This window comes from Homo sapiens, chromosome 11 (genome assembly GCF_000001405.40).
Source record: "Homo sapiens chromosome 11, GRCh38.p14 Primary Assembly".
Taxonomy (NCBI): domain Eukaryota; kingdom Metazoa; phylum Chordata; class Mammalia; order Primates; family Hominidae; genus Homo; species Homo sapiens.
Window position 1 is genome coordinate 35474133 of NC_000011.10, and position 13022 is coordinate 35487154.

General features: G+C 42.8%; 1 protein-coding gene across 4 annotated transcripts in view, besides 1 other annotated feature; it reads right to left on the minus strand.

The window, feature by feature from the left end:
- Window positions 1-13022, minus strand: part of PAMR1 (peptidase domain containing associated with muscle regeneration 1) — a 98474-nt gene that overhangs the window by 42306 nt on the left and 43146 nt on the right. For 3 of the 4 annotated variants that reach the window (NM_001282675.2, NM_001001991.3, NM_015430.4), the window contains one exon: window positions 498-612. The exons of the other annotated variant lie outside the window; for it this stretch is intronic. In NM_001282675.2, coding sequence (NP_001269604.1) covers window positions 498-612 — 115 coding nt within the window. The remainder of the gene's footprint in view (window positions 1-497; window positions 613-13022) is intronic. 4 annotated transcript variants of the gene reach the window in all.
- Window positions 11807-11856: a silencer, noted in NCBI's record as "silent region_3258". NCBI's record gives its function as "represses an Ori minimal core promoter by ATAC-STARR-seq in GM12878 lymphoblastoid cells {active_cell/tissue: GM12878}" and the evidence as "EXISTENCE:reporter gene assay evidence [ECO:0000049][PMID:35858748]".

Here is a 13022-nt window from a genome sequence, read left to right on the forward strand (position 1 = left end):
AAAGCTCCATAAAAAGAAATGACTCATCTTCCACACAGGTGAGAGAATTAGTTTATTTGTTGTGGGATGTTTGCTTTTTTCTGAAAGCCCCAATTAAAGGAGCTGTGACAAGCATCAGCCCCAATCTAAAGTATAATTCTTTGAAAATTAGGCCTGTGCCTTTTATTTCTTTACATCCCTCCCATAGGAACCAGCCCAGTCCGAGTAAGTAGGAAACACTGTTTAAGATTTGCGGATGGGTAGATTGCTCTCAGTATTTTGCTTTGTTGACGTTATCCTTGGGTCAAAATCATCTGAGCCCCACGGTTCTAAAGTGTTGATGACAAGCATTTAGTTGGCTGCAGTTTCAGCCAGGCCTTATCCCAGAGAATCAGAGTGGTAAAGAGAAAGGCTCCAATATACAAAGGCTCCAGAGGATCCCAGTGACCAAGAGCCTTCCATCCCATTTCTGTATCCTTATAACCTCAGACTCCTGACTTCTGGCCCCAGCTCCTTACCTTAGTTGGATGACAAACCCAGGTTTAGCATGAATGGTCCATTCACAGTGAGCATTTAGGGGATAGCTTTCCAACAAAATCTGACCCTTTGGGGCTCGCAGAACCTGGCCACATCCTAAGAAAAGAAGAAAAGATTGGGACATAAAAATGGAGGTCAATAGGAAAGAGACTAGAGAAGGTCTCAACGAGACTTTGAGCACATGCCACACCCCTGAGAACAGGATGAATAGGGAAAAGGAAGAAGGAAATTAATGTTTCTCAAGCAGCTGGCAATGTGCCAGGCAATTTACATAGATTAATTCATTTAATCCACCCAACAGCTTGGGAAGGGAAGTGGTGTCCTCACAATTTTCCAGCTGGGAAAACAGATAGATGATCAGAGAGTTAAATAAATAACTTGTCTAGCCGCTAAGTGACGGAGCAAAGACTCAAACCTAACTGTGTTTGAATGTAAAGTTCGAGCCACCCTATCATCCTTCCTCTCCAGGCCTGACAAATGCCAGCCTGCTGCCCCTACCTTAAAAGGCTCAGAAAGTAGACCCTCCCCACAGCTCTACTCACTTTCCTCCACCATCCAGGCAGGAAATCAAGGCATTAATTTATTCTATGAGTAGTTATGTAATAAATGCCTCTTTAATGCATGACAGTGGAAAGGAGAGATGATTTCCAACCAGTTGGACTGGATTGATGATTTTCTCATTCTTTTCTTGCTCCCAACCCCTTTTGTTCAAATAAAGTCCTATCAAGATCACCAATAAAACTCAATGTATAAAAAAGGGGCTCCTGGTTAAAGCAGAAGTAGGGGCCCAAAACCCTCCACCCCGATCCTTACCTAGTCTGCTGAGTTACCTCCAAGGAATCCCTAAGATTTGAAAACCACCGTATTGAATAGTCTTTAAATTAGATCATGTTTTCTAGTGTTAAGATAAGCACAGGTATAGAAAATGCACTGTATTTTTGTACCCAAAAGTTTGGGGAAAATGTCTTGAAGTGGCTCTATGGAAAAATTATTTGGATCATGAAATAAATGATATTCTCTACCTGGGGGTTGCACACTATGATCCTTGGGCCAAATACAGCCCACTGCCTCCTTTTGAAAATAAGGTTTTATTGGAACACAGTGACACCCATTCATTTATGTATTGCCTATGGCTGTTTTTGGACTATCATGGCAGAGTTAAGTAATTATAGCAAGAGACAGTAGGCCCCATGAAAATGAAAATACTTACTATCCGGCTATTCACATAAAAAGTTTACCTTCCCTATTTCTATACAGAAATCCAGATTGCCTTCTTAAACTTGGATGCATAGTTATATTCAATAACTCCCCAAAAGTACAAAATTTCATAACTAAAAATAAAAATATTACTAGTGGATACTGCACCATGGCAAGATGACAGTAGTAATATTTCTAGTGTTAGGAAAAGAGCCCAAACTCCACTTTTGACAAAGCTATGAGGTCTGAGGCTTCTTACTTTTGTGAAAACTACTGCTAGGTCATACAATCTATCTCTTCACTAAGATCTTTATTGCTGCTGCCCTGTGCCAATGATGGAAAGCATCATCCACCAGTTTCCACTTGGGGCTCCTGTCTAGCCCCAGCCTCCATCATCTCTCTCTGTAATCTCATCTCCTCCTTCATCTCCTAGTAATACGGTTTGGCTGTGCCCCCACCCAAATCTCATCTTTGTAGTTCCCATAATCCCCACATGTCATAGGAGGGACCTGGTGGGATGTAATTTAATCATGGGAAAGGTTACTTTCATGCTGTTCTTGTGATAGTGAGTGAGTTTTCATGAGATCTGATGGTTTTATAAGGGGTTTTCCACCTTCGCTTGGCACTTCTCTCTCCTGCTGCCATGTGAAGAAGGACGCGTTTGCTTCCCCTTCTGCCATGATTGTAAGATCCCTGAGACCTCCCCAGCCACACGGAGCTGTGAGTCAATTAAACCTCTTTCCTTTATAAATTACCCAGTCTCAGATATTTCTACATAGCAGAGTGAAAACAAATACACCCGCCATTCACCCTTGTTCCCGAACATACTGTTGTCCACCTAGCATCCAAAGCCACCTTTTAAATAAATTAATCAGATCACATTATCTTCTTGATTCAAGCCCTCCAAAGGTTCTCCACTGTGCAGACACCTTCCTATGTTATTTGCAGCTCTGCCTTGCTGGCTGCCTAAACCCACACTCCTCCCAGTCTCACATACCACTCATCTGCTTGTCCCCACTGCCCTAGACACAGCCTACTTTCTGTGCCCAACTCCGGCCCTTGTACTTGCTGTTTTCTAAACCTAGAAGGCTCATCTTCTTCTGCATCTCTTTCCTGTAAGAATTAAGCTTATATGATTGCACCACTGCACTCCAGCCTAGGTGACAGAGCAAGACTTCATCTAAAAACATAGAATAATAAAAATAATAAGTTCGACTGCCACTTCTTCAAAGAGGCCTTCCTTGCTATCCAGCTAAAACAGGCCCTCCCAATTCTATGGTCAATATTATTACTCTGCTTTGTTTCCTTCATAATACACACGCCTATTTGAAATTATCTCACTTACTTGCCTACTCCCTTTGATAGAGCTGGGATCTTTTCTAGCTTGTACACCTAGAATGGTACCTGGCATATAACAGGTGCTCACTGCATATTTGTTGAATAAAAGGATGTTGATATTATCATTTGTATTTTCTCATTTAGTCTTCATAAAAAAACACAGAGAACAACATTCATCTCCCCATTTTCTAGATGTGGAACACTAAAGATGGAGAAGTTAAGTGATTTCCCTAAACTCAGATGCCAGGAAGTTAGAAGACTGTAAATCGTTATCCTAATGGTAAAGCAGTGGTTAAGAATAGAGACTGCAGAATCTGACTGCCCTTGGTTTGAAACTCAGCTTTATTTTCCCTAGCCGTGCAGCCTTGGGCAAGTTACTTCCTTTGTCAGAACCTCAGTCAACTTGAATCAAATGTGAATAAAAGTGGCAGCTACTGTATACGGTTTTGTGAAGCTTAAATCGTGCATGGCAAACTCTTAGCAGGAAAATTAGTAAATGTTAGCTGTTTGTATCGAGTGGCAGAGCAGAGATATGACCTTGGATCTGTCTAGTATCAACGCTGAGTCTTTGCTGATATGTTAAACTGTCTTAGGGGCATTCTGACCCAGTCCTCTCCCACTCCATTTTGAAACGGCAGAATTTTTCCACCCCTAAGAGAGATACATGGAATTTTTGCCCGCTCCCTTTTTGAAATGCACGTTCCTTCTCTGCACACCTCACACTCCTCATCGCCCCCATCTACCCATCTGCTGCTGGGCTACGGAAGTGATATGCAGGGTGTGAGAGACAACAAAAGAAGCCTTCCTGCACAGCCCCCGTCCCTCAGGGACTGGCAGCTTCCCAGCCTGTAAGGTGTTAAATCCCAGCTCCCTCAGCAAACCTCCTGCTGGGGATCCCAATTTAGAACCAGCAGCAAATCCTGCCAGCCTGCTCCCAGTTTCTTCTCTCCATATGGAAGCTGGAAGCAGCCAGCTGTGCCTCAGGCCCCTCCCCAAATCCAAGGGAAGGCGGTGCTCATCCCCATTTAGGCTTCCTTGGCACATCCATTTGGGCTTTGGCCAGCTCCAGGGTCTCTTGCAGTCTCTGGAGGGCTCAGTCCCCATCCTCACCCAGATGCCCGATCCCTGGCCATGTGAAATGCTGGACCACCTGTTCCTGTAGCCTCAGGGGCTGTCCTTCAGAAGCAGCCAGGATTCTAAACACATGCAACATCTCCATTCTTCTTAATGAGGTTCCTTTCACTCTGAAGGGGAGGGCAGAGTTGGCCCCAAGATGGGGAACAACTTCCAAACAACCAGAGACAAAGGGGCCACTTCTTGGAAATGTGTTTGGAAGAAGGTATATTAGGGAAACAGCAAGAGGAGGAGGGAGCGCTCCCTCCCCACATCAAGGAATGCCTTCAATTCCCTCTCCACTCTTGCCTCTACTTGGAGAGCTGGCGAGGCTGGGTGCAGGGGCAGCCTGACTACACCTCTCTGTCTAGGGCAGAACAGTGAACACAGCTGAGTGTCCCTGCCAAGGAAGTATCGTTGGCCAACCTAGCAGGTGGTCCTGAGTCTGAAAGACCAGAGCAGGCAAAGAGCCTGGAAGATGTGCTCAGATTCCTTAACAATGTCTTACTGCAGGAGAAGAGGGGTATAGGTGTGTGGGCGTGTGTGTGTGTGTGTGTGTGTCTGTGTGTGTGTAGTGATATCTGTCAGTGAAGCTGGACTGTGCCCTGAGCTCTCAAATCCTGGCCTCATTGCCGATCTTTCCCCATGGCTACGTGCCCAAACAGGAGGGGCGGCTGGATAGTCCCTGCTTCTACAGAACTGAAAGGAAATCTTTATTAATTTCTAGACCAGTAAGACAGCTGGAAAAGGCTCTCAACAAAAATGAACACCCTTAGCCTCAGACAAAAGTCTTCTTATCTTCAGCATTTGGTGCAGGGGAGGGGATTGTGGGAGAGACACACACACTTCTAAGAAGTGGTTGGGTTTTGTTTTTCTTTACTGTTTCCTCTTAGAAAGAAAAGGAGGACTTAAAAAAATTCAGAGAGAGGCATTTGCATTTTCTTTCCTCCTTCAAAGATGACACAGTCTGTGATGCCAGCCGGGGTCCGAATCTTAGTTCGGCCACTTACTAGTTGTGTGACTCTAAAAAAGGCCACTATATTTTCTGAGCCAAGGTCTCTCATTTGGAAATGAGAATATTTGTACCTGCAACAATGTGTTTTTCTCACTTGTCTTAGGGATTAAATGAGATATTGTATGTAAAGCACTTAGCACAGCACCTGGTACATAAAAATGCTCAATAAGTGGCAACAAATATTGTTATTTTTCTCGAGTCTTGTCTGGATCTGAGGCACTGATTGTTTTGGTCCAGGAATCACAGGGGACAGCTCAGGTTCTGACCCACTGCTCCAGGGCTCATGAGAGCCTCATCTCTTCACTGGCTAGAACCCTAAACCCAACAGGTTTAGCATCCCAGACAGTGATAGCAGAGCCAAGGATTAGATGATGAAGACCCTAAGGGCTCTCACATCAAGAGATGGTTTCGTGGAGAGGATAAAAGAAGGGGCTCTGGGGCTGGCTTCTGAATTTTCATCTTGGCTCTGCCACTTACAAGTTGTATGACAGCAGAAAAGTTATTTATCCCTCTGTGCCTGAGTGTCTTCATCTGTCACATGGCTGTGACAAGGGTTGCAATGGGGATTAAATGAGTCAGTACAGGAAGGTACTCCGAATGATGCCTGGTTCATAGTAAGTACTACGTGTTGGCTTTTATCAGGGGCTCAGGTGTTCATCAGGAACAATGACAAGTCCTCAGCTCAGCCTGTGAGTTGACATATAACCCCAATCCACCTGACTCTATGATTGTTTATTGAATTGTCTGCCTCCCCCATGACGCAGTTCCACGAGAGCAGGAATATCATCTGTCCTGTTTATACCTCTGCCTCCGCCAAGTCAGTGCTCAATTACCATAACTACTAACTGAATGAATAGTTAGACCAAAAAACCAATTCAAACTTATTTCTGTCCAAACAAACCATTTTTAAAGCCCCTCCCCACCACCCCATGTCAAATGGCCTGTCCATTCAGTTGAAAAAATGGTTGTTCAGAAAGAATAGCATCTACCACTTTGCTGCAGAAAGTCTTTCTTCACCCAAAGTTGCCAGGGTTATCACAAAACACTCACATGGAAATAGCCCTGCTAATACAACTCAATGGACAGGGTCTGGCTAGGGTAGCACAAAGAGTTAAGACTGCTAAATACTTTCAGTCTCTTTTCCCTGTGCTTCAGTTTGGTTGATTTCTATTGAACTGTCTTTAAGTTCCCTGATCTTTTCTTCTATTTTGACCAATAGGCCATTAATCCCCTCCAATGAATTTTTGTTTTATTTCAGATAATGCATTTTTCAGTTCTAGGATTTCCAGTTGGTTTCTTTTTTATTGTATTTTTCAGTGCTAGGGTTTCCATTGTGTTCTTTTAAATACTTTTCAAATCTCTCCTGAATTTCTTTTTCTTTTTTTATTATTTTACTTTAAATTCCAGGATGCATTTGCAGAACATGCAGGTTTGTTACATAGGAATACACGTGCCATGGTGGTTTGCTGCACCTATCTACCCATCATCTAGGTTTTAAGCCCTGCATGCATTAGATATTTGTTCCGATATTCTCCCTCCCCTCACTCCCCAGGCCCTGACACGCTCTGGTGTGTGTTGTTTCCCTCCCTATGTCCATGTATTCTCATTGTTCAGCTCCCACTTATGAGTGAGAACATGTGGTGGTTGGTTTTCTGTTCCTGTGTTAGTTTGCTGAGGATGATGGCTTCCAGCTTCATCCAGGTCCCTGCAAAGGACATGATCTCATTCCTTTTTATGGCTACATAATATTCCATGGTATATTATATACCACATTTTCTTTATCCAGTCTATCATTGATGGGCATTTGGGTTGGTTCCATGTCTTTGCTATTGTAAATAGTGCTGTAACAAACATACATGTGCATATGTCTCTATAGTAGAAAGATTCATATTCCTTTGGGTATACACCCAGTAATGGAACTGCTGGGTCAAATGGTATTTCTGGTTCTAGATCCTTGAGGAATCACCACACTGTCTTTCACAATGGTTGAACTAATTTACATTCCCACCAACAGTTTAAAAGCTATCCTATTTCTCCACAGCCTCACCAGCATCTATCATTTCTTGACTTTTTAATAATCACCATTCTGACTGGCATGAGATAGTATCTCATTGTGTTTTTAATTTGCATTTCTCTAATAATCAGTGATGCTAAGCTTTTTTTCATATGTTTGTTGGCTGCATAAATGTCTTCTTGTTTTGTTTGTTTGTTTGTTTGTTTGTTTGTTTTGAGACAGATTCTTGCTCCGTTGCCCAGGCTGGAGTGCAGTGGCATGACCTCGGCTCACTGCAACCTCCACCTCCCAGGTTCAAACAATTTTCCTGCCTCAGCCTCCCAAGTAGCTGGGAGTACAGAAGCATGCCACCACACCCAGCTAATTTCTGTGTTTTTAGTAGAGACAGGGTTTCACCATGTTGGCCAGGCTGGTGACAAACTCCTGATCTCAAGTGATCCATCGCCTCAGCCTCCCAAAGTGCTGGTATTACAGGCATGAGCCACCTTGCCTGGCCATAAATGTCTTCTTTTGGGAAGTGTCTGTTCATATCTTTTGCCCACTTTTTGATGGGGTTGTTTGTTTTTTTCTTGTAAATTTGTTTAACTTCCTTGTAGATTCTGGATATTAGACTTTTGTCAGATGGGTAGATTACAAAAATTTTCTCCAATTCTGTAGGTTGCTTATTTGTTCTGATGATAGTTTCTTTTGCTGTGCAGAAGCTTTTTAGTCTAATTAGGTCCCATTTGTCAATTTTAGCTTTTGATGCAATTGCTTTTGGCATTTTCGTCATTAAGTCTTTGCCCATGCCTATGTCCTGAATGGTGTTGCCTATGTTTTCTTCTAGGGTTTTTATAGTTTTGGGCTTTATATTTAAGTATTTAATCCACCTTGAGTTAATTTTTGTATAAGATGTAAGGAAGGGGTCCAGTTTGAGTTTTCTGCATATGGCTAGCCAGTTTTCCCAGCACCATTTATTAAACAGGGAATCCTTTCCTCATTGCTTGTTTTTGTCAGGTTTGTTGATGATCAGATGGTTGTAGATGTGTGGTGTTTTTTCTGAGGTCTCTGTTCTGTTCCGTTGGTCTGTATGTCTGTTTTGGCACCAGTACCATTCTATTTTGATTACTGTAGCCTTGTAATATAGTTTGAAGTCAGGTAGTATGATGCCTCCAGCTTTGTTCTTTTTGCTTAAGATTGTTTTGGCTATATGAGTTCTTTTTTGGTTCTATATGGCATTTAAAGTAATTTTTTTCTAATTCTGTGAAGAATGTCAATGATAGTTTGATGGGAATAACACTGAATTTATAAGTACTTTGGGCAGTATGGCCATTTTCACAATATTGATTCTTCCTATCCATGAGGATGGAATGTTTTTCCATGTGTTTGTGTCCTCGCTCATTTCCTTGAGCAGTGGTTTGTAGTTCTCTTTAAGAGGTAGTTAATGTCCCTTGTTATCTGTATTCCTAGGTGTTTTGTTCTCTTTGTAGCAATTGTGAATGGGAGTTCATTCATGACTTGGCTCTCTGCTTGTCTATTGTTGATGTATAGGAATGTTTGTGATTTTTGCTCATTGATTTGGTGAATTTTTCATGTCTTCATCCATTATAGTCATCTTTTCCTGTCAATCTTTTAGTGCATTTATTTTAAAGTTATGTAAAAGTTTCTTGTTTGAAAATTTCCATTTCATCACCCATGCTCTATTTCTTTTGACTGGTTGTTCTCTTGAATGTAGATCTTATTTCCTTGCTTGTTCACAACAAGAGATCTATTGTTTCCTTTGATTGCAAACGCCCTCTCCTCTATTAGGCTGGTGGGAGAACTGATCAGGGATGAATCAGTTTGACCCAATCAAGGGTTAAGCTGATTTGGGGCAGGACTGAAGCTATAATCTCACCAGAAGAGCCTTGAAATTCAAACCCCATAAACCTAAGGAAATCTCTCTTTGATTTTCATCTCCTCCTTCCCCCAGCTTCCTGCACTCCTGTGACTACAAGACTGGGAAGCTGTGAGCCCATGAGACTGTGAGACTTTGAGACCACAAGCTTATAAAGCTGCAAGGTGACAACATCCCAAGATCTCCTGCTTCGTAGCCTCATTCCAGCCTCTGCTTGCACAGGCAAATTCCATTTAATAAAATACTTGGTGGAGAGGATTGTCTTTGCCTTGGAGTCTCTTCTAGATTTAAGTTCAACTGGTCAGCCCATAGATTCAAAAGTTTTCCTGTCTTCTCCTCCTCCTTCTCTGGTAGGCCCCTTCCTGCACTTGCCCTGCCCCCAACCGCAGCAGCTGCCTTCAAGTATGAAGCATCCCGAATCTCTTGCTCATCCTGGAAGAATTCACCCCTCTGGAGTTTAAATTCTTTTAGATTTCATATTATGGTTTTAATGAAAACTGTTATTTTCTTTGGTTTAATCTAGTGATTTCTTACTGTTTGAGCAGGAGGGAAGGTCTTTCACATCCTTCTATACCTTCACCAGAAGCTGAGCTATGATTGATGAGTTCTTTAACAACATAAAATCCTCTGCAAAGATTTAAACATGAATTCTCTGTGGTCAAAGAGCTTCAGCACATAAAATATAAAATACTATTTGCCATACAATACTTTGTCTGGTGAAGACTACCTCCTTGTGCCCAGTGTGTATTCTCTAACCTTAAAGGCTTCTCTTTTATTATCTTTCTTCTCTGGCCCTATATTGATTTCTTCCCCTGCCACCCAAAACAACAACTAACAAATAGAGCTCATTTCATGGCTCTGGATTATAAGAATAGCATCCACCATTTATTGAGCACTTACTATATACCAGACTCTATCCACCATTTATTGAGCACTTACTATATACCAGACTCCATATTAAGGGATTTATAGACAGTTCTTCACTTAATCTTCACAAAAACTCTCAAGGCCACTATGAGGATCCCAATTTTGTAAATGAGGAAACTGAGATTCACAAAGATTGGGTAACCTTGCCCAAAGCCAGGAAAGAAACAGAGATTCAAATCCAAGCCCAGGCTGCTAACTGCCACCTAATACCATCCCCAGTTTGAATCGACCTGAGCATTGTTCTTTTTCTGGGAGCATCAGGACACAAAAGTCTGGAGCGAGATGAGGCAGCTTTCAGTAACTCCACCCTAGGCGATTCCGCAGCTCCCCTGGAGGGCAGCCCCGAAAGTCAGTAACACACAGCTTTGTAAGCCTTCTCCCCACTCCCCTTAAGTTTGCTCTTAATCATTCCTACTTATGGCTCAGGAATCGGCCTGCACAAATCCTCTTCCTCTCCGATAACTCACCCTACAAACATTTTTGGGCATGGCTTATGGCCAGTTCCTCTGTTTCTCTGCCTCTGTCCAAAATATGACTAAGAAGATAAATGTATTAAGGACCTATAATCTCTCCCCATAAATCCTCTCATCTGGGTTGCTTTCCTAACCTCCTTAGATGCCCAGTATCCTTCAGGGACTGAAAGGCTGGGATCACTGCCATGCCAGCTAGAAGTGTGGCATTCTGGGTCGCTCTTGGGCCCTCCTGCTGCTCATCTTTTTTGATGGCCAAGGAACTCAGCCTAGGGCCAAGCTAAACCAACACCAGTCCAGTGGTCAGCAGTGGAAGTCAGCAGAGTGGTTCCACTTCAGAACGCAACTTTTGAGTTTAAGAAACCCTAAGAGGAAGCCTTGGTTTCGACTTTGGATATCAGCACCTCTAATAGCCAGCACCCAAATCGCAGTTCCTAAATACAATTTCCCACTATAAGAAACCAGGATGCAGGGAGAAATAGCTTGTTTCAAGACCTGGGCATAGAAAATCAAGGTGAACTTAAAACATTTGAGGGTCAGGGGTAGAATGCAAGTAAGTGCTCAAGGAGAAATGAGGTGCAGCCTGCTTAACGGGCCAAATCTGAAACAATCTAAGCATCAAAAGAAAAATTATGATAACACTATGAAACAGAAAAAAATTAAAATTCATGAGTCTTAAAGTGCAGAAAAAGAGAGAGAGAGCCAGATGTTGGAGAATGATAAAAAGTGGCAAATCCTGGAAAGGAGCATATGGATGTATACTATTCTTTCAACTCTCTGTAGAATTGAAGGTTTTACATTAAAGAGTGGAGAAAGGTAGAAAGAACAGCTCTTTTTTTAATGGCGATAAAGTGCCAGTAGCTCTTAGTCTGGATATTCTGAGATTACTAAACCAATCTTTCCTGGGCAGAAAGATGTGAATAAGTTCTCTCCTGGGCTCAATAGCCTCAGGCCGTTTGCCCATCCTCCTGGATAATACAACCTGCCAATGGTTATGCATGAATCAATTCCATAATGAATTTTAAGGTTGTCATTAGTTAGGTTAGTAATATAAACATTGTCAAGGACAGTGAGCAAATAAAGGTGCTACTGCATCTGTTCAGTGCCAGATGCTCTCTAACCCACATATAAAACAGCTCTGATCCTTCTGGCACTTGCCCGCCACTCCTCCCTCCTTCTAAGGCTCTGTATGGTACTCAGGAAAAAAAAATGCCCAGGCTCTTCAGAGACACTCAGAAGGAAGCGCCTTCAGGATAACGTTGTCTGAAAGGATCGCTTGGGCGCCATCTAGTGGGAAAATGCTTGCACTGCCATGGGGCTCCGGCGCTGTGTCCCAGCCATATGTAGGCGACCCTTAACGTAGGCAGGCAGCATAGTGCTCAGCACCAGGCAGGCATTCAACAAAGAGTGAAATGAATTACTTCTTCCTATGAATTCCCTACACATTTATTTAGTGCCAGTATGAGGTGAGGGTGATAAGAACCTAATAACATCATATTGATGTCTTCTTATGGTCAAGCACTGTTTTCACAGATGGATTGTAAACTCATTGCGGAATCATTGTGTTCCCTGGTGACCAGCCCAGTGCTCCATAAGAAATGCTCCATCAGTGCTCATGGCAGTGGTAACATACACTGTGTGGAATGAGGCTCTCAGAACAAGCATAACGTAATTGAACAAGCAAAACTGAACCAACACAGATCGGATAGAATCTGACCATTAGTTTGTTTTTTCAATTTCATAGCATTGACCACATTCTATTTTTTTAACTTTAAAAAAAATCTCCTCTCTAAAGCGCAAGCTCTAAGATGTCAGAGACCATGCCCGTCTGGCTTATCATTGTACATCCAGCACCTAGAAGCATCCATTCAAGAAATATCTTTTGACTGGATGGGTAGATTAATGCACGAAGGTGTGAGCTCTCTGTTCTGCCTGCCTAGGTGATAGACTGGTTGCTCTGAGCCAGTTCTGCTGTCCTTGAGAAAGCCTGGACCCTCAAATGGACACAATCACCAGCCCAATCAATGAGGCTCCATAAACAGCGTCTTACACCAAGGTGCAACCCAAGATTTGACCAGTAGGTGCTATTTAAAAAGACACATGCTCAGGATTTCTGAATATTAATATTTTCTGTTTCATAACATTTGGGTGACTGCTATCCTTGTTTTGTTACCATTTGCTGTATTGACTTCTTGCATGCAAATATTCTTTCCTTCCTGTCCCCTGCACCCTGAACAAACCCCCTTACTCACATGGAGCGACTGAAGTATTGTTTAGAAATATTTATCCACCCCTCTTCCTTTGGGATGGCATATACTTCCCTACTTCACTCATTGGGAACTTAGCCATGTGACTTCTTTTGGCCAGTGGAATATGGGTGAGTGTGATGTGCGCAGAGGCCTTATGTGCACCTGTGTGTTTGGCTTGACCTCTTGTGCTTCTGCGACCCACCCTGAGAAGAGCATCCCCTGATGGTTGCTGTCCCTTCTGCCTAAGCCCTGCAGCCTGGAGCACAACCAGCCCAGGTCAGCCCAGTTGAAATCAGTGGAATGCCTG